This window comes from Homo sapiens, chromosome 12 (genome assembly GCF_000001405.40).
Source record: "Homo sapiens chromosome 12, GRCh38.p14 Primary Assembly".
NCBI classification, from domain to species: Eukaryota; Metazoa; Chordata; class Mammalia; order Primates; family Hominidae; genus Homo; species Homo sapiens.
This window is the reverse complement of record NC_000012.12, coordinates 64,948,549-64,971,596: the sequence shown is the minus strand read 5'-3', so window position 1 is coordinate 64,971,596 and position 23,048 is coordinate 64,948,549. Positions and strand designations below refer to the sequence as shown.

Here is a 23,048-nt window from a genome sequence, read left to right as displayed (position 1 = left end):
CCAGGCTGGTCTCTAACTCCTGAGTTCAGGCAATCCACCGTCCTAGGTCTCCCAAAATGCTAGGACTACAGGCATGAGCCACCGTGGCCGGCCTAATTTTTGTATTTTTAATAGAGACAGAGTTTCACCATGTTGCCAGGCTGGTCTCAAACTCCTGACCTCAGTTGATCTCCCACCTCGACCTCCCAAAGCTCACATCTGGGATTACAGATGTGAGCCACTACACCTGGCCTTTTTCACTTTTGATGTTGAGATTTTATGTTTTCTCTCTTTTTTCACAACCATAATTTTTAAACAAATTTATTTTTCTAATTAACCAACTTTTGGCTTTGTTGGCTCTCTTCATTTTTCTATTTCATTGACTTCTGCTCTTTATTATTTATTTCCTTCTACCTATTTTGTGTTTAATTTGCCTTTTCTTTTAGTAGCTCCTTAAGGTAGAAGATGAGAGCATTGATTTTAAGCCATTTTTTATCCTAATACAAGCATTTAAAGCTATAAATCTCCCTTTAAGCACTGCCTTACTACATCTGGCAAATTCTGACATGTTGTATTTTAACTATAATTGAGTTCAAAATATTTTCTCTTTTTCCTTGTGATTCCTTCTTTGAAATGTGTTGTTAAATGTACAACTATTTGGGGATTTTTCTAGATATCTTTATGTTATTGTTTTCTATTGTGTTCCAAGAACATACTCTGTGTAAATTCTGTATTTTGAACTCTATTGAGACTTCTTTTCATAGTTCTGCACGTGTCCTATCTTGGTAAATATTCTAAGTGCATTTGAAAAGAATAAGTATTCTGCAGTTGTTTGGGGTAGTGTTCTATAAATGTCAATTAAATTAAGATGATTGATAGGGTGATTCAGATTTTCTATTTTCTTTCTAAATTGTTGTCTATTTACACTATCAATTACTGAGAGAAAAATAAATTAAGATCTCCAACTATAATTCTGGGTTTTTCTATTTCTTTATTTCTATCCTTTTTTTTTTTTTTTTTTTTTCAAGATGGAATTTCACTCTTGTTGCCCAGGCTGGAGTGCAATGATGTGATCTCGGCACACTGCAACCTCCACCTCCCAGGTTAAAGCGATTCTCCCGCCTGAGCCCCCCAGGTAGCTGGGATTACAGGCACCCGCCATCATGCCCAGCTAATTTTTGTATTTTTAGTAGAGATAGCGTTTCGCCATGTTAGCCAGGCTGGTCTTGAATTTCTGACCTCAGGAGATCTGCCTGCCTTGGCCTCCCAAAGTGCTGGGATTACAGGCATGAGCCACTGTGACCTATTTCTATCCATTTTTGCTTGATATATTTTGAACTTCATACACATTTAGAACTATTTTCTTCTTGATGCCTTTCCCTTCTATCTTTATAAAATGTCCTTTACTTGGTAATACCTCTTGCTTGAAAGTATATTTTATCTGATTAATACAGACACATCAGTTTTCTGTCTTTAAGTTCACTTCAAAATCTTTACTTCTGCAGTATTCAACCTATGTTAAGCCCATCTAATAATTGTTTCATTCAGACATTCATTTTTCAGTTCTAGAATTTCTATTTTGTTCTTTTTAGGAATTTGTCATTTCTCTTCTGAAATACCCAATCTTTGCACCCATTACATCCATTTCCCCACAACTTTTAAAAATATATATGCAATAGCTGTTTTAAGGTCCTATTAATTTCAATAACTGTGGATTCTATGGGTCTGTTTCTATTGACTAACTTTTCTTTTGATTATAGATCCTATTTTCTTGTTTCTTAGCATGCTTCATAATTTTTTATTATATTCCAGATATTGTGTATAAAAGAACAGTGGTGGCTGAAGTATAACATTTAGATTTGTTTTAATTATTTCCCCCCAGAGAGTGAAATCTTTTTCTCTATCTGGTAATTGGGGTGAGAAATGATCATTCATATTTCTTTTAGAGTCCAGTAGATCTGGGTCTGGGTTTCAGTTTTAATTAAATTGAAACTACATGTGATTAGCCCAGCTCTCAACTTCCTAGGTCATAGCCCTTTTATGTTTTCAGTAGCTGAACTGGGAGAAGCTTGGTTACAGTCTCATATATTTTTGGTTCATCTTTGGATTCATCTCCAGGAAAAGACCTGAAATTCAAATACCACAGGAATGCATATGACTAAGCAATTTCTCTCTTCTTACCAGCCCTTCCTCCACTGTAACTTTCTCAGCAAAATTCATGGTTGGGGAGGGTTTAGGGAAGAAATGCTGAACCCAATAATCTGCTCTGGCTTTGGGGGCTTTTTCCAGACTCTTAATTTATCTTGACAGTCCTACTTGGTCCAAAGCCCACCTTATTTCCCCCTCACCCTGTCAAGTTTCTCTATCAGACCTACCTACCCATAACCAGACCAGGAAGCTGCCCCAGGCTTAAAGCTGCCTTGGCTCTCTGCTCACTTATAAAGGGCTCTTTCTCTCTGGAATTCAGTTAATCAAGGCTTCCTTGTGTGAATACCACCCCTGGCTAGCCCCATAGAAAATACTTTTATTTTTAGTTTTTTGTTTTTGGGGTTTTTTTTCTGTTTCTATGAGAAAGAAGGTCTTTTGTGTTCTTCTCCATCCTCCCCCAAAGCAGACACCCCCACAAAGCCTGAGTTCTTAACCATTATTTTGAAGTGTTTCCCAAACATTAAAAAAAAATTAGAAACGGAAAATCAAATGCGTGCTAGACAGTAAAAGGAATATAATATATTTTTATAGGTAATATTACTTCAAGCATGAACAAAAACTATTTTATTTTAATTTAATAATTCTAAATGTCCTTTTGCCTACCTAACATGTATCTATTCTACCATGCAGAGCAATTCCATCCACAGCCTTCCACGGCTCTGCAGAGTCATTATCTTTCTGCAATATTCTAACCACATTTAAATAGGTTAACTTGTACATGATACTAACTTGCTTTTTATATAGAAAAATGTTTTTATATAAATTTCATACTGGTTTAAATTTTTATCCAATTAAGATTCTGATAATGAACTTCAATAAAAGCCTTTGGCATAGTATTAGAGACTGGCAATTTTTACATGAAAATCACTTTTTTTTTTAAAGAGATGAGCTCTCACTTTGATGCCCAAGTTAGAGTGCAATGGTGCAATCACAGATCACTCAGCCTCAACCTCCTGGGCTCCAGCGATCCTCCCACTTCAGCCCACCGAGTAGCTGGGACTACAGGTGCATGCCATCATGGCTGGCTAGTTTTTCTCTTTTTTGTAGAGACAGGATTTCACCATGTTCCCCAGGCTGGTCTCAAACTCCTAAGCTCAAGCAGTCCATCTGCCTCAGCCTCCCAAAGTGCTGAGATTATAGGTGTGAGCCACTGTGCCCAGCTGAAAATCACCATTCTTATATCTTTATAGCCACCTATCTTCTTCCAAAGGTGTATCAGTCTACTACGGCTGCCATACAAAACACCACACACTTAGTGGCTTAAACACGAATTTATTTCCTCAAAGTTCTGGAGGCTAGAAGTCCAAGATCAAGGTTCTGGCTGATCTGGTTTCTGGTGGAGGCTCTCTTCCTGGCCTACAGACGGCCACCTTCTCACTGTGTCCTCACATGCCCTTTCCTTGGTGTGTGTGCACAGAGAGAGAACAAACTGTCTGGTGTCTCTCTCTTTTTTTTTTTTAGACAGAGTCTCGCTCTGTCGCCCAGGCTGGAGTGCAGTGGCGTGATCTCAGCTCACTGCAAGCTCTGCCTCCCGGTTTCACGCCATTCTCCTGCCCCAGCCTCCCGAGTAGCTGGGACTACAGGCGCCCATCACCGCTCCTGGCTAATTTTTTTTGTATTTTTAGTAGAGACAGGGTTTCACCGTGTTAGCCAGGATGGTCTCGATCTCCTGACCTCATGATTCTCCCACCTCAGCCTCCCAAAGTGCTGGGGGTGTCTCTTCTTAAAAGGACAAAAATCCTATGTGATCAGGACCCACCCTTATGACTTTATTTAACCTTAATTACTTCCTTAAAGTCTCCACCTCCAAATTCAGCCTCACAGAGGTTTAGGGCTTCAAAATAACAATTTTGAGGAGACAAAAATATTTATCCCATAACAAAATGTTTTCCATAAATGCTGTACTAATTTACATTCCCACCAGCAGTGTATAAATGTTCCTTTTTCATCACCCCCATGCCAACATCTATTGTTTTTTGACCTTTTAATAATGGCCATTCTTGCAGGGGTAAGGTAGTATCTCATTGTAGTTTCAATTTGCATTTCTCTGATGATTAGTGATGTTAAGCACTTTTTCATATGTTTGTTGGTCCTTTTGTATGTATTCGTCTAAGAAATGTCTATTCATGTCATTTGCCCACTTTTTGCTGGGATTATTTTTTTTTTCTTGCTGATTTGTTTGAGTTCCTTGTAGATTCTGGATATTAGTCCTTTGTTGGATGAATAGTTTGCAAATATTTTCTCCCATTCTGTTGATTGTCTGTTTACTCTGAGGATTGTTTCTTTTACTGTGCAGAAGCTTTTTAGTTTAATTAGGTCTCATTTATTTATTTTGGTTTTAGTTGCATTTGCTTATAGGAGTTTAGTCATGAATTCTTTGCTTAGGCCAATGTCCAGGAGAGTTCTTCCTAGGTTATCTTCTAGAATTTTTATGGTTTTAGGTCTTACATCTAAGTCTTTGATCCATCCTGAGTTGATTTTTTGTATAAGGTGAGAGATAGGAACCCAAAGTTGTATTCTTATGCATATGACTATTGAGTTTTCCCAGCACCATTTATTAAATTGGGTGTCCTCTCCCAAATTTATGTTTCTGTATGTTTTGTTGAAGATCAGTTGGTTGTTAAGTATTTGGCCTTATTTCTGGGTTCTCTATTCTGTTCCACCAGTCTATGTGTCTACTTTTATACCAGTACCATGCTGTTTTGGTAACTATTGCTTGATAGTATGCTTGAAGTCTGATAATGTGATACCTCCAGATTTGTTCTTTTTGCCTAGGACTGCTTTGGCTATTCAGGCTCTTTTTTGGTTCCATATGAAATTCAGAATTTTTAGAGATGAGATCTAGATACTGCTCTTTTTAAAGCTCCCCAGGGGATTCTAATGTATGGTCAAAGTTGAGAACCACTAAATTAAATAAAACTATGACAGATTGGAAGTATAACCTTTATAGACTCATGGTTTCATGAGATCTAGGCAAATTCAAAGCAACAGCATCCAACAGGAAAATAAAACTGAAACTAATATAAATCTTTACTCACGGAAAGGAATGAAAGTGAGTGAGTAAATCCAGCACCTTCAACTCCAATATCCAGGTTCTCATATTGGGACTTACTCGGCAAACAACTTGACCCATGGAGAATGAAGAAAAGTAGGGAGGGCAGGCAATGGCCCACCTGAGAGTGGCATGGAGCCAAAGAAACCCTCACCTCCAGCAAGGGAAGCAGTGAGTGATTGTGCAACCCCACCTGGGAAACCACACTCTCTCATGGGTCTTTGTAACCCACAGATAAGGAGATCCTCACATGAGCCCACACCACCAGGGCCTTGGGTCCAATACACAGAGCAGTGTGGAGTCTTGGCAGAGCATCTGCTCAGGCACACACAGAACTGTGTGGAGTCTCGGCAGAGCATCTGCTCAGGCACATACAGAGACCCATGAGTTTTACATACTCTGGTCCCAGGATACCCAGCAAGGTGGGAAATCCATCCATACATATCCCTAGGAAGGGGGGCTGAATCCAGGGAGCCAAGCAGCATCATTCTGCAGGCACCACTTCCACAGCACCTCACAAGTTAAGACCCACTGGCTTGGAATTCCAGCCAGCCAACAGCAACAGGCTGGAATCTGCCTGAGATAGGTCCAAGTAACCAGGGGGATAGGTGGCAACCATCTCTGCAGTTCAGTAGACTTAGCCATTCCAGCCTGCTGGCTCTGGAGAATACAAATGGTCCAGAGAAAGATGGGTCCCCTACAACATACCACAGCCACTTTGCCAGATCATGGCCAGACTGCTTCTTTAAGTGCAGCCTCAATCCAGTCCTCCTCACTGGGTGGGACCTCTCTGCAGGGGCTTCAGCCACTCCAGCCAGGGTCTATGGGAAGAATTCTGATCTCTCCCTGGGATGGAGCTCCAGGGGGAGGGGCAGCCACCATCTCTGCAGTTTGGTCACCTCAGCCATTCCAGCCTGCTGGCTTTGGAGAATACAAATGGTCTGGATAAGGAAGGATCCACCTCCAACACAGAACACCTGCTCTACCAAAAAGCAGCAATACTGATTCTTTAAGTGGGTCCCTGATCCTATATCCTCCTAACTGGGTGAGACCTCCCAACAGGGGTCTCCAGAACACCTCCTACAGGTGCATTCAGGCCAGCAACAGGTCAGTACCCCCCTGGGACAGAGCTTCCAGAGGAAGGAGCTGGCTGCCATCTTTGCTGTTCTGCAGCCTTCACTGGTGAAACCTCCAGGTATGGGGAAATCCAAGGCAACTAGGGTCTGGAACAGACCCCCAGCAAACTGTAGCAGCCCTGCAGTAGAGTGGCCTGTTAAAAGAGAAAAACAAACAGAAAACAACAACAACATCAACAAAAAAGACCCCACAAAACCCTCATTCAAAGGTCAGCAACCTCAAAGATCGAAGGTAGATAAGCCAACAAAGATGAGAAAGAATCAATACAAAAACACTGAAAACTCAAAAAGCCAGAGTGCCTCTTCTCTTCCAAACGACTGCAACACCTCACCAGCAAAGACACTAAACTGGGCTGAGGCTGAGATGGTTGAATTAACAGAAAACACACTGAAGTGCACAGACCAGTGATGCTATGAAGCAACTACATAAATAACTCTGAAAAATAACAGCTAGCATCATGATGACAGGATCAAATTCACATAACAAGACTAAACTTAAATGTAAATGGGCTAAATGCCCCAGTTAAAAAGCAAGGAATAGCAAGCTGGATAGTCAAGACCCATGGATACGCTGTCTTTAAGAGACCCATCACATGTGCAAAGACATACATAGGCTCAAAATAAAGGGATGGAGGAAAATTTACCAAGCAAATGGAAAACAGAAAAAAGCAAGGGTTGTAATCTTGGTGTCTGACAAAACAGGCTTTAAACCAACAAAGATGAAAAAAGACAAAGAAAGGCGTCACATAATGGTAAAGGGTTCAATTCAACAAGAAGAGCTAACTATCCTAAATATATATGCACCCAATACAGGAGCACCCAGATTCATAAAGCAAGTTCTTGGAGACCTACAAAGAGACTTACTTAGACTCCCACACAATAATAGTGGAAGACTTTAACACCCCACTGCCAATATTAGACAGATCATTAAGACAGAAAATTAACAAAGATATTTGGGACCTAAACTCAGCTCTGGATCAAGTGGACCTGATACATATCTACAGAACTCTGCACCTCAAAACAACAGAATATACATTCTTCTCATCGCCACATGGCACTTACTCTATAATTGATCACATAGTCGGAAGTAAAACACTCCTCAGCAAATGCAAAAGAACTGAAATCATAACAGTCCCAGACAGCACAATCAAATTAGAACTCAAGATTAAGAAATTCACTCAAAACCACACAACTACATGGAAATTGAGCAACCTGCTCCTGAATGACTCCTGGGTAAATAATGAAATTAAGGCAGAAGTCAAGAAGTTCTTTGAAACGAATGAGAACAAACAGACAGCATACCAGAATCTGTGGGATGCAGCTAGAGCAGTGTTAAGAGGGAAATTTATAGCACTAAATGCTCACATCCAAAACCTAGAAAGATCTAAAATCAACACACTAACATCAAAATTAAAAGAACTAGAGAACAAAGAGCAAACAAACCCCAAAGCTAGCAGAAGACAAGAAATAACCAAGATCAGAGCTAAACTGAAGGAGATAGAGACACGAAAAACCATTCAAAGAAATCAACAAATCCAGGAGCTCGTTTTTTGAAAAAAATAATAAAATAGATAGACTGCTAGCTAGATTAATAAAGAAGAAAAGAGAGAAGAATCAAATAAACACAATCAGAAATGATAAGGGGGATATCATTACTGACCCCACAGAAATACAAACAACTATCAGAGAATACTAGAAACACCTCTATGCAGATAAACTAGAAAATCTAGAAGAAATGGACACATTCTTGGACACATACACTCTCCCAAGACTGAACTGGGAAGAAATTGAATCACTGAATAGACCAATAATTAGTTCTGAAATTTTGGCAGTAATAAATAGCCTACCAACCAAAAAAAAAGCCCAGGACCACACAGATTCACAGCTGATTCTACCAGAGGTACAAGGAAGAGCTGGTACGATTTCTGCTGAAACTATTGCCAAAAATTGAAAAGGAGAGACTCTTCCTTAACTCATTCTATGAGACCAGCATCATCCTGATACCAAAATCTGGCAGAGATACAACAAAAAACCAAAACTTCAGGCCAATATCCTTGATGAACATCAATGCAAAAATCATCAATAAAATACTGGCAAAACAATTCCAGCAGCACATCAAAAAGCTTACCCACCACAATCAAGTTGGCTTCATCCCCAGGATACAAGGTTGGTTCAACATATGCAAATCAATAAATGTGATTCATCACATAAACAGAACTAAAGACAAAAACCACATGATTATCTCAATAGATGCAGAAAAAGCTTTCAATAAAATTCAACATCCATTCATGTTAAAAATTCTCAATAAACAAAGTATTGAAGGAACATACCTGTACCTCAAAATATTAAGAGCCATACATGACAAACCCACAGCTAATATCATACTGAATGGGAAAAAGCTGGAAACATTCCCCTTGAAATCTGGCATAAGACAAGGATACCCTCAACACTGCTATTCAACATAGTATTGGAAGCTCTGGCCAGAGCAATCCGGCAAGATAAAGAAATAAAGGGCATCCAAATAGGAATAGAGGAACTCAAACTAAACCTGTTTGTTGATGACATGATCCTATATCTAGAAAACTCCATTGTCTCAGCCCAAAAGTTTCTTAATCTGATGAGTAACTTCAGCGAAATCTCAGGATACAAAATCAGTGTGCAAAAATCACTAGCATTCCTATACACCAACAATAAGCAAGCAGAAAGCCAAATCATGAATGAACTCTCATTCACAATTGCTACAAAAAGAATAAAATACCTAGGAATACAGCTAACAAGGGAAGTGAAGGACCTCTTCAAGCACTACAAACCACTACTCAAAGAAATCAGAGAGGACACACACAAATGGAGAAACATTCCATCCTCATGGATAGGAAGAATCAATGTTGTGAAAATGTCCATACTCCCCAAAGTAATGTATAGATTCAGTGCTATTCCCATTAAACTACCATTGACATTCTTCACAGAATTAGGAAAAACTATTTTAAAATTCATATGGAACCAACAAGGAGCCTGAGTAACGAAGACAATCCTAAGCAAAAATAATAAAGCTGGAGGCATCATGCGACCAAACTTCAAACTATACTACAAGGATACGAAACAGCATGGTACTCATACAAGAACAGACATATAGACCAATAGAACAGAGTGAAAAACACAGAAAGAGGGGCTGCAGTGGCTCACGCCTATAATCGCAGCACTTTGGGAGGTCGAGATGGGCAGATCACTTGAGGTCAGGAGTTTGAGACCAGCCTGGCTAACATTGTAAAATACGGTCTCTAGTAAAAATACAAAAATTAGCCAGGCATGGTGGCAGGTGCCTATAATCCCAGCTACTCAGGAGGCTGAGGCAGGAGAATCATCTGAACCCAGTGGGCAGAGGTTGCAGTGAGCCGAGATAATGCCACTGTACTCCAGCCTCGGCTACAGAGTGAAATTCTGTCAAAAAAAAAAAACAAAAAAAAAACTCAGAAATAAGATTGCACACTTCAACCATCAGATCTTCAACAAATCTGACAAAAACAAGCAAAGGGGAAAGGACCTCCTATTTAGTAAATGGTGCTGGGAGAGCTGGCTAGCCATATGCAGAAAACTGAAACTAGAGACCTTCCTTATACCATACACAAAAATTAACTCAAGATGGATTAAAGACTTAAATGTAAAACCCAAAACTATAAAAACCCTAGAAGAAAATCTAGGCAATACCATTCAGGACATAGGCACAGGCAAAGATTTCATGACAAGGATGCCAAAAGCAATTGCAACAAAAGCAAAAATTGATAAATGGGATCTATTAAACTAAAGAGCTTACATAGACATCCTATAGAATGGAAGAAAATTTTTGTAATCTATGCATCTGACAGAGGTCTAATATCCAGCATCTATAAAGGACTTAAACAAATTTACAAGAAAAAAAACCATTAAAAACTGAGCAAAGGACATGAACAGACACTTCTCAAAAAACATACATGAGGCCAAAAAACATAAGAGTTCAACATCACTGATCATTAGAAAAATGCAAATCAAAACCACAATGACATACCATGTCACTCCAGTCAGAATGGCTATTACTATTATTATTATTATTATTTTTGAGGCAGAGTCTTGCTTTGTTGCCCAGGCTGGAGTTCAGTGGCATGATCTTGGCTCACTGCAACCTCCACCTCCCAGATTCAAGCAATTCTCGTGCCTCAGCAACCCAAGTAGCTGGGATTACAGACGTGCACTACCACGCTCAGCTGATTTTTGTATTTTTAGTAGAGACGGGGTTCTTCCATGCTGGCCAGGCTGGTCTCCAACTCCTGACCTCGTGTGATCTGCTCATCTTGGCCTCCCAAAATGTTGGGATTACAGGTGTGAGCCACTGCTCCTGGCCCAGAATGGCTATTATCAAGAAGTCAAAAGACAACAGATACCGGCAAGGTTGTGGAGGAAAAGGAACACTTTTACACTGTTGGTGGGGGTGTAAATTAGTTTAACAATTGTGGAAGACAGTGTGGCTATTCCTAAAAGACCTAGAAACAAAAACATTCAACCCAGCAATCTCATTACTGGGTATATACCCAAAGGAATAGAAATCGTTCTATTATAAAGTCACATGCACATATATGTTCATTGCAGCACTATTCACAATAGCAAAGACATGGTCTCAACCTAAATGCCCATCAATGATAGACTGGATAAAGAATATGTGGTACATATACACCATGGAATACTATCTAGCCATAAAAAGGAACGAGATCATGTCCTTTGCAGGGACATGGATGGAGCTAGAAGCCATTATCCTTAGCAAACTAACACAGGAACAGAAAACCAAATACCACATGTTCTCACTTATAAGTGGGAGCTAAATGATGAGAACACACGGACACATGGGGAGAACAACACACACTGGGGTCTGTCGGAGGACATGGGGTTGGAGGAGGGAGAGGATCAGGAAGAATAGCTAGTGGATGTTGGGTTTAAATACCTACGTGATGAGATGATCTGTGCAGCAAACCACCGTGACACACGTTTACCTATGTAACAAACCTGCACATCCTATACATGTACTCCTGAACTTAAAAGTTGGAAATTTAAGAAAAAAAGTCTTTGTGACTAATGAAGGTTTTTTCTTCTATTTTTATTTTTGTCTATTTTTTGAGATGGAGCCTCACTCTGTCATCCGGGTTGGAGTGCAGTGGCACAATCTTGACACACTGCAACCTCTGTCTCCCAGGTTCAAGCAATTCTCCTGCCTCAGCCTCCCAAGTTGCTGGGAATACAGACGCACACCACCACGCCTGGCTAATTTTTGTATTTTTTTAGTAGAGATGGGATTTCGCCATGTTGGCCAGGCTGGTCTTGAACTGCTGACCTCAGGTGATCTGCCCACCTCAGCCTCCCAAAGTGCTGCAATTACAGGCGTGAGCCACTGTGCCCGGCCTCTTCTGTTTATTAAAAAAGATTTGTTGAGTCTATGATGTGTTAGGCTTTATGGAAGATACTCAGAATCCAAAAATGTAGTAATTTGACCAAGTGGATTTACAGAAACAAAATGAAACATAAATGGAAACTTGGAGGCATCCAAGTTTCTAAAACTAATTAAGTGGCCTATACCTCCTGGCAAGTAGAATCTCTCAAATTGTGGGATACTCAGAGACTCATCTGCAGTCCCAAAGTCAAAGTTTGGTGGAAAGCATGGTGGTCTGTTTAAATAACACACTCCTCCCAGGGCCTAACAACACTGGTTGCCTCTGGGGAGGGAAAATGGGAGCAGAGGGATAAATAAATGTGGGGGTTTTTTCATCCATTCAAACAACATTGAGCAACTACTATGTGTCTGTAGCTCTTTGAGGTCTTAATAACTGTGTGGTCTTGGGCACTTTTAAACTTTTTGGACCATAGTTTATAATTAATCCATCAAGGATAATGGGTGTTTAGTAATTATTAATTTATTTCCTTAATACTTGTAAATTTTAAATTGTAAATTGCTCCAAGTATAAAATTCAGGCCTTATTTATCTATAAAGGGAATAAAGGAAAATTCAATTAGACTCCTCAGATAATCTGTGGATACTTGAGTACTTCTGAAAAAGATATTTCTTCTGAGATGGAAACCAGGTCCCTGACCCTGCAATTTGGTCTTTCGTCAGGGTCCTGCTCAAGGGCCATACATCAAGTCCACTCCAAAAGCAAAGGCTCCTGACATTTGTGGCACTGAGGGCTCCATGCAGCTCAGGTTTTACACATTCACATACAGAGACTATCTCCTGCCAGGTTCCCTGCCTATCAAGCTTAGGCGATGAGCTGAAGGAGAGGGCCTCACGATACGTGGCAGCAGGCTTGTATTTTCCTAAATGCCAAGTCCCCACCAAAGCCTGAATGCAGTCTCCAGAGTTTGGCCAGTCCCTGATTCCTCCTTTGCACCACAGTCAAAAAGGGTACCCAGGTCCTTATGAGACTCAGAGGACCAGAGCCAATTGCAGCCAACATTACAGCTGGTGGACAGCACCCTACACCTCCTGGCAAGTAGAATCCCCCAAATTGTGGGATACTCAGAGACTCACCTGCAGTACCAAAGTCAAAGTTTGGTGGAGAGCATGGTGGTCTGTTGAAATAGTACACTCCTCCCAGGGCCTAATAACACCAGTTGCCTCTGGGGAGGGAAAATGGGAGCAGAGGGATAAATGTGGGGTTTTTTCTTCCATTCAAACAACATTGGGTATCTACTATGTGCCTGTAGCTCTTTGAGGTTCTAGAGACACTGAATGAACAAAAAAAAATGCAAAAACCTTTGCCCTCGTGGAGCTTATTTTCTATCGGGGACCAAGACGATAAATAACATACATTTTTAAATGTCAATGTTAATTATAAATGCTAAGTGATAAATGTCCATCATACAGCATTGCATTTACCTATTTACTGATCTGTCTCTTTCACTACAATGGGAACAACTGGAGGGCAAGAATCAAACCTGTTCTTGACTCCAGGCCTTTGCACTTACTGTTCCCTTAGCCAGCACACTTGTCCCCAAGTGCAGCAATTACACAAAGCAGGGGGGAAATTTGTTAACTGGCAGAATAAATGAAGGCTATGCCTAAGCATGTGTTCCAATAAATGTTTTCAGGAGCACTTGCATATATGTGCATACATGTGCACAAACAAGTGAAACGATGAGCTATGTGGGGATAGACACAGAATAGCCCCCACAGTGGTCCCTCAAGAAAGATGAGATGCATCATGAAGGGGCTGTTCTGTGGGTGTGGGGGTGCAGGAACAGAGTGCAGACAGGCTTCTGCCCTGGCCCTCAATGTGGAAGGGTGAGAACAAGAGATGAGCACACAGCTTTAGTCTGAAAGTCTCTCTTGCTTCCTTTGTTTCCAGTGCCATGACTTAAGGAGTGAAGAGAGGGCATAGAGAACAAGCAGAGTATGCAGGGCATATGCTGAGATAAGAAACTGGATCTGAAACAAGTTGAATACTTGCAGGTAGGAAGAAATGGATCGCACCAAACCAAGGTTGCTCTGGGTCTCCACATTCCCTCTGGTTCAAACCTCATTGTTAAGTCGGATTCCCATTCATCCTCCTCTTCCCTGTCCTGTTCCTGTTCTGAACATAGGCTTGAGGGTGACTTATGTTCCTCTCCCAGCTAAGCTCTCAGAGGACAGGAGTTGGGCTGGGAACTCACTCTGGACAGCAGAGCTCTCCAAAGATTTTATAGGAAGAACTACTTTTTATTTTCTCAGTCATTAAAAAAAAACTCCAGTCATTTGTACATATTTTCAAAAAACATAGAAAATAATATTTTTTAAAAGTCATTCATAATGCTGGGTGTGGTGGCTCATGCCTGTAATCCCAGCCTCGGGAGGCCAAGGCAGGTGGATCATGAGGTCAGGAGATCGAGACCATCCTGGCCGACATGGTGAAACCCCCTCTCTACTAAAAATAGAAAAATTAGCCAGGCATGGTGGCACATGACTGTAATCCCAGCTACTAGGGAGGCTGAGGCAAGAGAATTGCTTCAACCAGGGAATCAGAGGTTGCAGTGAGCCAAGATCACGCCACTGCACTCCTGCCTGGCAACAAAGGGAGACTCTGTCGCAAAAAAAGAAAAAAGAAAAAAGAAAAAAAAATCACTCATAATCTACCACCCAGGAATACCACTGTTAATATTTTAGTGTACTTCCTTCAAGTCTTTGTTTTTACACAATTAAATTCATTTTGAATATATAATCTGCAATTCTGCTGTTTTTATGTAATATGCTGTTATAAGCTTTTTCTCATACTATTTTCAATTCTTCCAAATTTCCATTGTTGTTGCTGCAGAATAATCTACCATTTATCTATTCATTCTATTGTTGGACAATAACTTTCCTAAAAGTTTTGTGTGGTCTTGGATTCTGTGCCAACTGAGACAAGGGCCTGGGTGGAATGGAAGGTGCCAAGCCTGACAATACCTGCATACCAACAGGGAGTCTGGCAACCATGACAAGTAGTGTGAGGGTGGGGGCCGAGGAAATGTAGACGCCATCTTGGAGTCCTACCACGCAGAGCTTCAAGATCTGCTGGTGGATGTCGATGCATTGTTGGAAGACTCCGGTCAGATCTAGCACTGAACTAGGTATAGCAATAGTATAAGAAATGCTGTATGATGACAAAGCTGAGAAAGTGGGAGAGAAAGCAGTAAAGCAGCCACACTCTGAGGTACTCCAATTAAGGCTGTAGGAATTTACTTTTCTATTAGTTTCATGTACTGCTTCAACTTTAACTTTGGAGGCATTCCTGTATTTATGAGAACCAATTAAATAGTACTGACTTGGGAGCACTTAAGCACCACAATGGGAGAGCCACAGTGCAGTTATTTTCACGGTGGAACGGTGGGCTAAGGTGACCTAAGGGTCTTCTCCCTGAGTCCTCATAGGTTGCTAGTTAATAGTAGTGACATCTCATGCACCATTTACATTGTTTTCATTGTGTTAGTTTTTTGTTGTTTTTTATTGTATTAAAAACTTGAATTAGTTAAACCTGCAGCTGTTTTTGTGTAACTTGTGAGTCAAGAGTAGTTTTTACAAAAAGAAGAATATGAGACAGAGACTGTATGTGTCCTACAAAGCCCAAAATATCTACTATCTGGCTATTTACAGAAAAGTTTCCTGACCCTCAGCTTAAGAAATAAATAAACCTCAAATTTCAGTAGCTTTGCAAAATAAAGTTTTTTTCTTGTTATTCAGTTCAATGCAGATGTTCCCAGCCCAGAAGTGATACATATTATCTCACTTCTGTGGCAAGAAGCAGTCACATGCTCACATTTGCAGCAAAAAGGCTGGAAAATGTAGCCTTTTGTCTGGACAATGACCCTCAAGGACACTTTCCCTTCTTTATTGTATGTCAGAGCTCAGACCTCCCCTATAGAGGGGGAAGAATGTATTTTGGGTGGACAGATAGGTCTCTCTGCCAAGGTTCAATTACATGTATGTATATACACTTAATTTTTAAAGTAAGTATGTGTTGTTAATTTCAATGTAAATTCCTTGTGTTTTTTTAACCTACAAGAAGTTTGCCTGCAAGGAGTTTTTTAGAAACAAACTACTGAAAGGCTGGGGAGGGGGCTGTAACTTATTGCAATTAAGGAGAAGTCAGACAAACATTAACGTGTGAAAACGCTGAACAAAATCACAGGAGCAGAAGATGGCTCAGTCTCTGTGGTCTTTCACTCTGTTCCAAATAAAGGCACACCTAATATAGTTCTCCCACATGAGAGTCTCCTGCCCTTTCTAAACTGTGGGAGAAGAAAATGAAGAAAACCCTCAAAAAAGTTTTGATGTAACCCTAATATCACTCCAACTCTGCACAATTCTTCTCTTACACAAACCACAATTATTGAAAGCATTTGACTAACGCTTGGGTACAACCATGGTGCCCTGCTTGCTCAGTGACTTCTAGACTAAACAAGGTCCACTGTTCCAGAAGCAGACAGTAGTTGGAAAAACCTTTTACTCCCCAACAGCTGTAGATCATAATACCTTCATACCTGTGTGCAAACCTTCTTTCCCTACATGCAGTTATGATTTAAACAGCCCTTTCATTTTAGAAGGAGATCACAATAGGAGAGCCCCTCTCTGCCAGAGATGAACTAAGGCAGTGCATATGAGGGCTTGAAAATCTATTTAGTGTGCTCTAAATGTAAGGAATCAGTATTTGGATTTTTTAAGTGCAGGAGGTGTGTGTTAGAAACTTTCAGGATGAAAAAATCAGATGCATTTACACATGCCCTTAGCTGACTGCATTTTATGGCAAAGATACAAGGGGAATAAAGAAAGCCAGGAAATTATTCCTACCCTGAATACCATGTAGTGACAAATCAGTTCTTCTCTTGAGGGATTTGAATTCAAATCACTCAGAGAGGCAACAGTCTAAACTGGTAATGAGAGAGAGAAAAAAGGAAAGAAGGTCACAAGAAAAATGGAATGAGTAGAGTAGGGCCCATATGTCAGAGAAGCTTAAGCCTGAAGGATCTGTGTTCTAGAACCATTACTGGGTCTGCTTTCAGTGCTGCTATTATGTCTTGAGAAGGTTGAACAACATTCTACAGAGATTTTAAAAATTGCATGAATAATTGTGTCTTACAAATGCAAGGTTTTTTCTTCTATCATGATATATTAATTTCAACCTTGCTGTGACATCCTCCTATATCTTGTTCTATTTTTTGCTGCTATAACAGAATACCACAGAAACTAAGTAATTTAAAAAGAAAAGAGACATGTTCTGGAGGTTGGGAAGCCCAAGATTAAGAGTCTGCATCTTGTGAGGGCCTTCTTACTGTGTCATAACATGGGGGAAAGCATCAAAAGGTGAGCATACAAGACCGAGAGAAAAATGAGAGCTGAAATTAATCTTGTATCAGGAACCCATTTTCACAATAACAGTATTAATCCATTTATGAAAGCAGAGCCCTCATGACCCAGCCACTCTCAAAGATCCCATCTCTCAATACCATCCTAATGGTAATTCAATTTCAATATGTGTTTGAGAATATTCAAACCACAGCACTGTGCTATTTTATTACATTTGTTTTGATATTTATTTTTATTAAGCTAGAATTTTAATATGGCTAAATCTAAAAAAGAATGATTTTTACTAATTTTTGAATTTTATAATTGTGAAATCAATACTTTCTCATGGGAAAAAAATTAAAACTCTAGAAAAAATTATAAGGAGGAAAATAAAATTCTACTGACCACCCACCACCCTATCATCCTTCATTTTTGTTCTCCAGGAGCAATCACTGCTATGAGTTTCTTGAGAAGCTTCTCAGAACTGTCATCTGTGTACTGCTCTTCATTTTAATCTAATTTCTCCTAGATACTGAGACAGTGGTTTGGTTGACCCAAGGAGGTCCTGGTGACCCCTTGCCTTTACCTGGCACAATCTGAAGGCATCCAGTTCTCCCAGAACAGCATTCTCCACTTTGCTGACCTTCAGTAAAATTGCAACATGAACCAGTTGTCTTGGACACTCTTCTTCATTCTTCTTCATGCCCTAACATCCCATCACTCCTCAGGACACCTTTTGCCACACCCAGACTTTTCCTGTAATAATCCATGTTCAAAAAACTGTTCTGTACTCTATACTCCATCAAATCTTTCAATGAGATTAATACTAGAGTGTGAATAAATGGGCTTTCTTTATAAGCAGATTACCTTTTCTAAAGGATATTTTTATTTTATTTTAAAAAATCAAAGAAGAATACTATAATAGTGGAAATTACAGTTGGTAGTCAACAAATATTTGTTGAGTGGCTTCTCTGTGCCAAGCATGAAGTTATAGGGCAAAAAACGTTTAGATTGGAGGAAACCAATATCTACTACGAGTAGATTCTTGAGCCTGTTCCAGAAAGGCACAGCATGACTGAAATGGTTGCTGAAGAATAGAGGACAGGGGAAACGATCCAAAATAATAGTAACAGGTACTCCATGAGTTGAAACTTGTGACTTGTCTTTGTTTTTAGTTTCTATCTTGTGGAAAATTTTGCTGTTTTCACTCTGTCACAGAACAGATGGAACCATGATTTATGATTCACAGTTTATGAAGCTGATGTAATATTCTACCACACTTTGTGACCCATCATGTTTCCCACATTTGCAATATTTTTCTTCTGGGACACTTGTCACAAAGGGATCACTGAGATGTTGGGATGAGAGTGGTTCAGCCATTATAAAATAGGGAAACTAGTGATATCACAAGGGTCATTCATGTATCCAACAAATATTTATTTGGCCCCTTAATGTGCCAGGTACTGCTCTAGGGACTAAGGATCCAATGGACAAGTCAGATAGGTCTTTACTCTGTGAAGCAGAAAAATAATAAACAAGTAAATAAGCAAACAAATGACAAGATCATTGTATAGAAGTTCTTTGGAGAAAATAAAAATGAGGTAATGTTATAAAGAGTGACTGAAGGCAGACAACATTGAATAGGTTGGTTGGCCAGGCATGGTGGCTCACGCCTGTAATCCCAGCACTTTGGCAGTCCAAGGTGGACAGATCACTTGAGGTCAGGAGTTCAAGACCAGCCTTGGCAACATGGTGAAACCCTGTCTCTACTAAAAAAAAAAAATACAAAAATTAGCTGGGCATGGTGGTGGGCACCTGTAATCCCAGCTACTCAGGAGGCTGAGGCAGGAGAATCGCCTGAACCCAGGAGGCAGACGTTGCAGTGATCTAAGATCATGCCACTGCACTCCAGCCTAGGTGACAGAGTGAGACTCCATCTGAAATAAATAAATAGGGTGGTCAAGGAATGCCTCCCTCAGAGGTGTCATCACAGCTGATGCTTAAATGATGAGAAGAAACTGGTTCTTCAAAAGTCGTAAGGAAGTGTGTTCCAGATAGAGGGAACAGAAAGTACAAAGCCAGGAAGAAGTTTGGGATGCACAAATGCAGACTCAAGGCAAGTGGGTTGTATTCACCAACCCATCTTTGTATCCCCCCCACCCCTGCTTTCATCCAGCTGTTGATGCTGATACCACTGGGGTCATGAGCCAGGATGTTGGCTTTATGCTGTTTAGTGCATCAAATTAAATACTTCCTGGCTCCAATTCAGAAGCTTTAGTGTGGCTCTGGTGGTATTCTGTTTCCTATTTCACACTACAGTTCACAAGAAGTCGACTAGCAGAGCAATCCCAAGGGAATACCAGCCTTGAAACATGGGAAACAACCCAAACATGAATGGCAAAAGATCAGTAAGAGGTGGTGGTGATTTTCCTCCAATTAAATTTGTTTGTAAGGAAAAAATCTATTGTTTTCTAGGTAAATCTGATGATATAGTCACAGCAAAAGTATAGTATATTCATGGCAACACATTTTATGAACTATTATTCCAGTATCTATGTGAAGCAATAAATTATTTGAATTACACTGTACACTCTTCACTAGTACTCTAAGTCCATCATTTCTTATCTACAATTCTGGAAAAAAAAATTTATTTTGAGACAAGATCTCACTATGTTGCCCAGGTTGGTCTTGAACTCCTAGGGCTCAAGTGATCCTCCCATCTCAGCCTTCCAAGTTGTTAGGACTACAAGCTACAATTCTGAAATGTTTTTAAAAATTTGAAAACTAAGTATTTTTCACATTGCATAATGTGCAAAAGCAAACTTATGCTCATGAATTTCAGGGTATTTTCATAATTTTAATCTTAACACAACCACCCTCAGTGGGCCTGCCAATATTTTAATGAGTAAATGGTCAAGAGATAAAAAAAAAATGGCTAACTAGGCAGTACAAGATAGTGAGCTAGGCTTAGCTTCTCTTACTGATGTATATTATATCCATTGTAATTGTCCACCAAATTCTAACTTGCACAAGAAAAGAACACGGTAAATGTACAGTGTATTCATGACAACACACTGTGAACTTTTATCCCAGTGTCTATGTGAAGCAATAAATTATTTGGGCCATAGGTATGTCCTAGTAGCTATTGTATCCCCAGCACATAGCAGTAACTGGCACATAGTAGACATTCAGCAAATATTTATTGAATAGTTGGTCCATTGTTAATACTTGGCCACAATGATGCCCACTGCACTTGCTGTCTTAAATGACAACTACACATCAAATCCTGATGCAGTTTCTTCTGAGTTTTCTGCTGATTCAAGGTCAGGATATCCTTCAAACAGATGTTTGCCATTCCTGAGGCTCGCATGACATTCTGATGGCAAAAAGAAGCTGGTTTCCTGCCAAAGCCCAATTTATACTTTCTGGAGAGTCTGCTAGCTCTATTTTTCTAAATAAACACTCAATTGAACAGTCCCGTGACTCTCTGATCCAAATAAATACTTTGAATCATTAACAGTCTCCACCAGCAACGCTAATGAATTTGAATTCATTTTTAGTCTCTTTCTACTCAGATCTTATCCCCTTCTTTTTTTGCCCTCCACAGCTTCCACAAAGACTCTTATGAGCATCCTTTTGATCCTCATGTTTGTTCTTCTATTGACTGAGCCAAGAGCATCAGCAGGAACTACAGCCTTCCCAGATGCTGTGGCTATAGCTCCTTCCCTTTCTATCTCATTCTGCGGCAGGTCCAGGAAAGTAAAGCTCTGCTAGCACAGTTTCCCATAGATGAACCACAACAGTCACTTACTCCTTTGAGCTGAGAGGAGATGAGAGCTCTGTCTGCTATAGTTAACCTGCCTTGACAAAGAACTTAAGCTTAGCTCTGAAAGCCAGGGACCAAGGAGCCATGCAGAATACAGAGGATAAAAAGGGGTACATTTGATATGTTGTATGATCTATAAAATAGCACATCTGGGTGTTTATTTAACTGACAACCAACAGATAAATTTTTAAGACAATTAAGGGCATTAGAAAACATGATTCCCACTATATAGATTCTTAAGTGAGTGGGGTTGAGAAATATTTTCAGGTTTAACAGTAAATATGTGCTGGGTTCTTTGAATCTTATTTTTTTTAAAGTGCAGAAAACTTAGAAAGTACAACAAAGCATTTTAAAAAGAAACAATTTCTGCCTCTCAAGCTACAGATAATGTCTTTTTTCTTTTTCAAAAAATACAATTTTTAGGCTAGCCTGAAAAAAAAAAATCTGTATGGACCCCAAAGGTCTCCTTGTGAATGAAAATGCTGCTAACGGGAGTTTTGTGTTATGTGTGGGCACTCAGAGTTTTCAAGAAGACCATGAAGGAAAGTTTTCAACTGCTGAGGGCTCCAGACTCCCTGAGAGAGGGGAAAAGGAAACCTTTGGGGTTGATGATCAGAGCTTCACGCCTCAAACACTTGAACAATCTTGCCTCATTTCCTGAACCTGAACTTATTCATAAGTTGGGGTGCTTCTCTAGAACTCTAGCAAGCTAGTTATGAAACTGAATTATCATAGGAATATTTCCACTGGAAGGTTGGTGGAAAGCCCTGTCACTTAAGGAGGCAAAAAATGTCCTTCCATTTTGATCTGTAAAGAACCCTTAGCCAAGCTTGGAAGGATCATGGTGCTTTCTGGAGCCATGGCAGCATAGATGGGGTTCGAAGGTTTGTATACCTCCAGTGTTTGTGCTATATAGGCAGGCATGAGACTAGGAAGCAGGTCACATATATGCAGAGCAGCAAGCTCAAGCACTGGCTCAAGCAGACTGGAAATAGAAACGCCAACCAAGGTTGTATAGGAAATGTGGGCAGAAGTGGTTAGAGGCCCAGGAAATTTCTTTCCAGCCTATTCCAAATGTACAGTGGCAGGAACAAGTATAGGACCTCCCTTCATATAGAAAGATAAAGAGAGTGTCACACATTAGCATGCCAGGGAGGCTGGACAAGGCTACTCTGCTTTGTGGAGCTGTGCCTTGTAAGAGAAACTCCTAGAATCAGAGCCCTGCAGAAGCAGCAACCACCAGTGATAGGGAAGATGGCTGGAGCCGGGGCAGAGCCAAGAGGAAGCAGCAGCAGCAGCAGCAGCCACATGGAAACCATGGGGAAAACAGAAACCAGAGGGAAGGAGCGTAGCCCTCCCTGGCCACACACATGGGTAGGTTGCAATAGGCCAATAAGGCTAGCGGGTAGTGGGCTGGTGGAGTGGATTGGATCACAATTCCCAGTCACAATAATAAAAACCAGTAGGGGATTGATCCCATGTGTGACTATGGCTGATGTGACTTGAGAATGAAAAAGAGTTTCTTGAGGGAAAATGTTTGGTTCCAGAACAGGAAGGCCACCTGTACCAAAGATAAATACTGATACTTTCCACATCCCTAATTCCAAGACTATTCTTTAAATCCCATCAGCTCACCTGGAACTTCTGTGGTCCCCACTGCCTGCCCAATGTGACAGTCAGCAGAAGCTTAGCTCCAAACCCATGCCTGTGAGGTTGGACTCCAGACTTGATGGAGTATACGTATCCAATGGCAACTCAAAGGGGAAATATTAAGAGTGACAAAAAGGAGATTCTCCAACCAGGGACTATTATCTTCATGCCTCTTGGATATTGCTTATTAAACCAAAAGGTAACTGACCCAAAGAAAATAACCCATCCCATCCTTCTCTCACGATACTCGACTTTTATACCCTTAAATGAAGGATGCTCTAAGTACAGCCAGAGTTTGGATGTAGGGGAGTGTGTGTGTGTGTGTGTGTGTGTGTGTGTGTGTGTGTGTGTGTGTGTGGCATAAGCAGCTGAGACTAGGAAGCA

At 40.4% G+C, this 23,048-nt stretch overlaps 2 long non-coding RNA genes across 2 annotated transcripts in view, besides 1 other annotated feature; one reads left to right on the top strand and one right to left on the bottom strand.

Annotated features, from left to right (window-relative positions):
* The window catches only part of LINC02389 (long intergenic non-protein coding RNA 2389), a 93,749-nt gene that overhangs the window by 5,926 nt on the left and 64,775 nt on the right, over positions 1-23,048 (bottom strand). The window lies entirely within an intron of this gene.
* LINC02231 (long intergenic non-protein coding RNA 2231) overlaps positions 1-23,048 on the top strand; it is a 71,447-nt gene that overhangs the window by 20,695 nt on the left and 27,704 nt on the right. The window contains exon 3 of the long non-coding RNA NR_146276.1: positions 13,740-13,843. This is a non-coding gene — a long non-coding RNA (long intergenic non-protein coding RNA 2231). The remainder of the gene's footprint in view (positions 1-13,739; positions 13,844-23,048) is intronic.
* Positions 3,384-3,613: an enhancer, noted in NCBI's record as "active region_6604". NCBI's record gives its function as "activates an Ori minimal core promoter by ATAC-STARR-seq in GM12878 lymphoblastoid cells {active_cell/tissue: GM12878}" and the evidence as "EXISTENCE:reporter gene assay evidence [ECO:0000049][PMID:35858748]".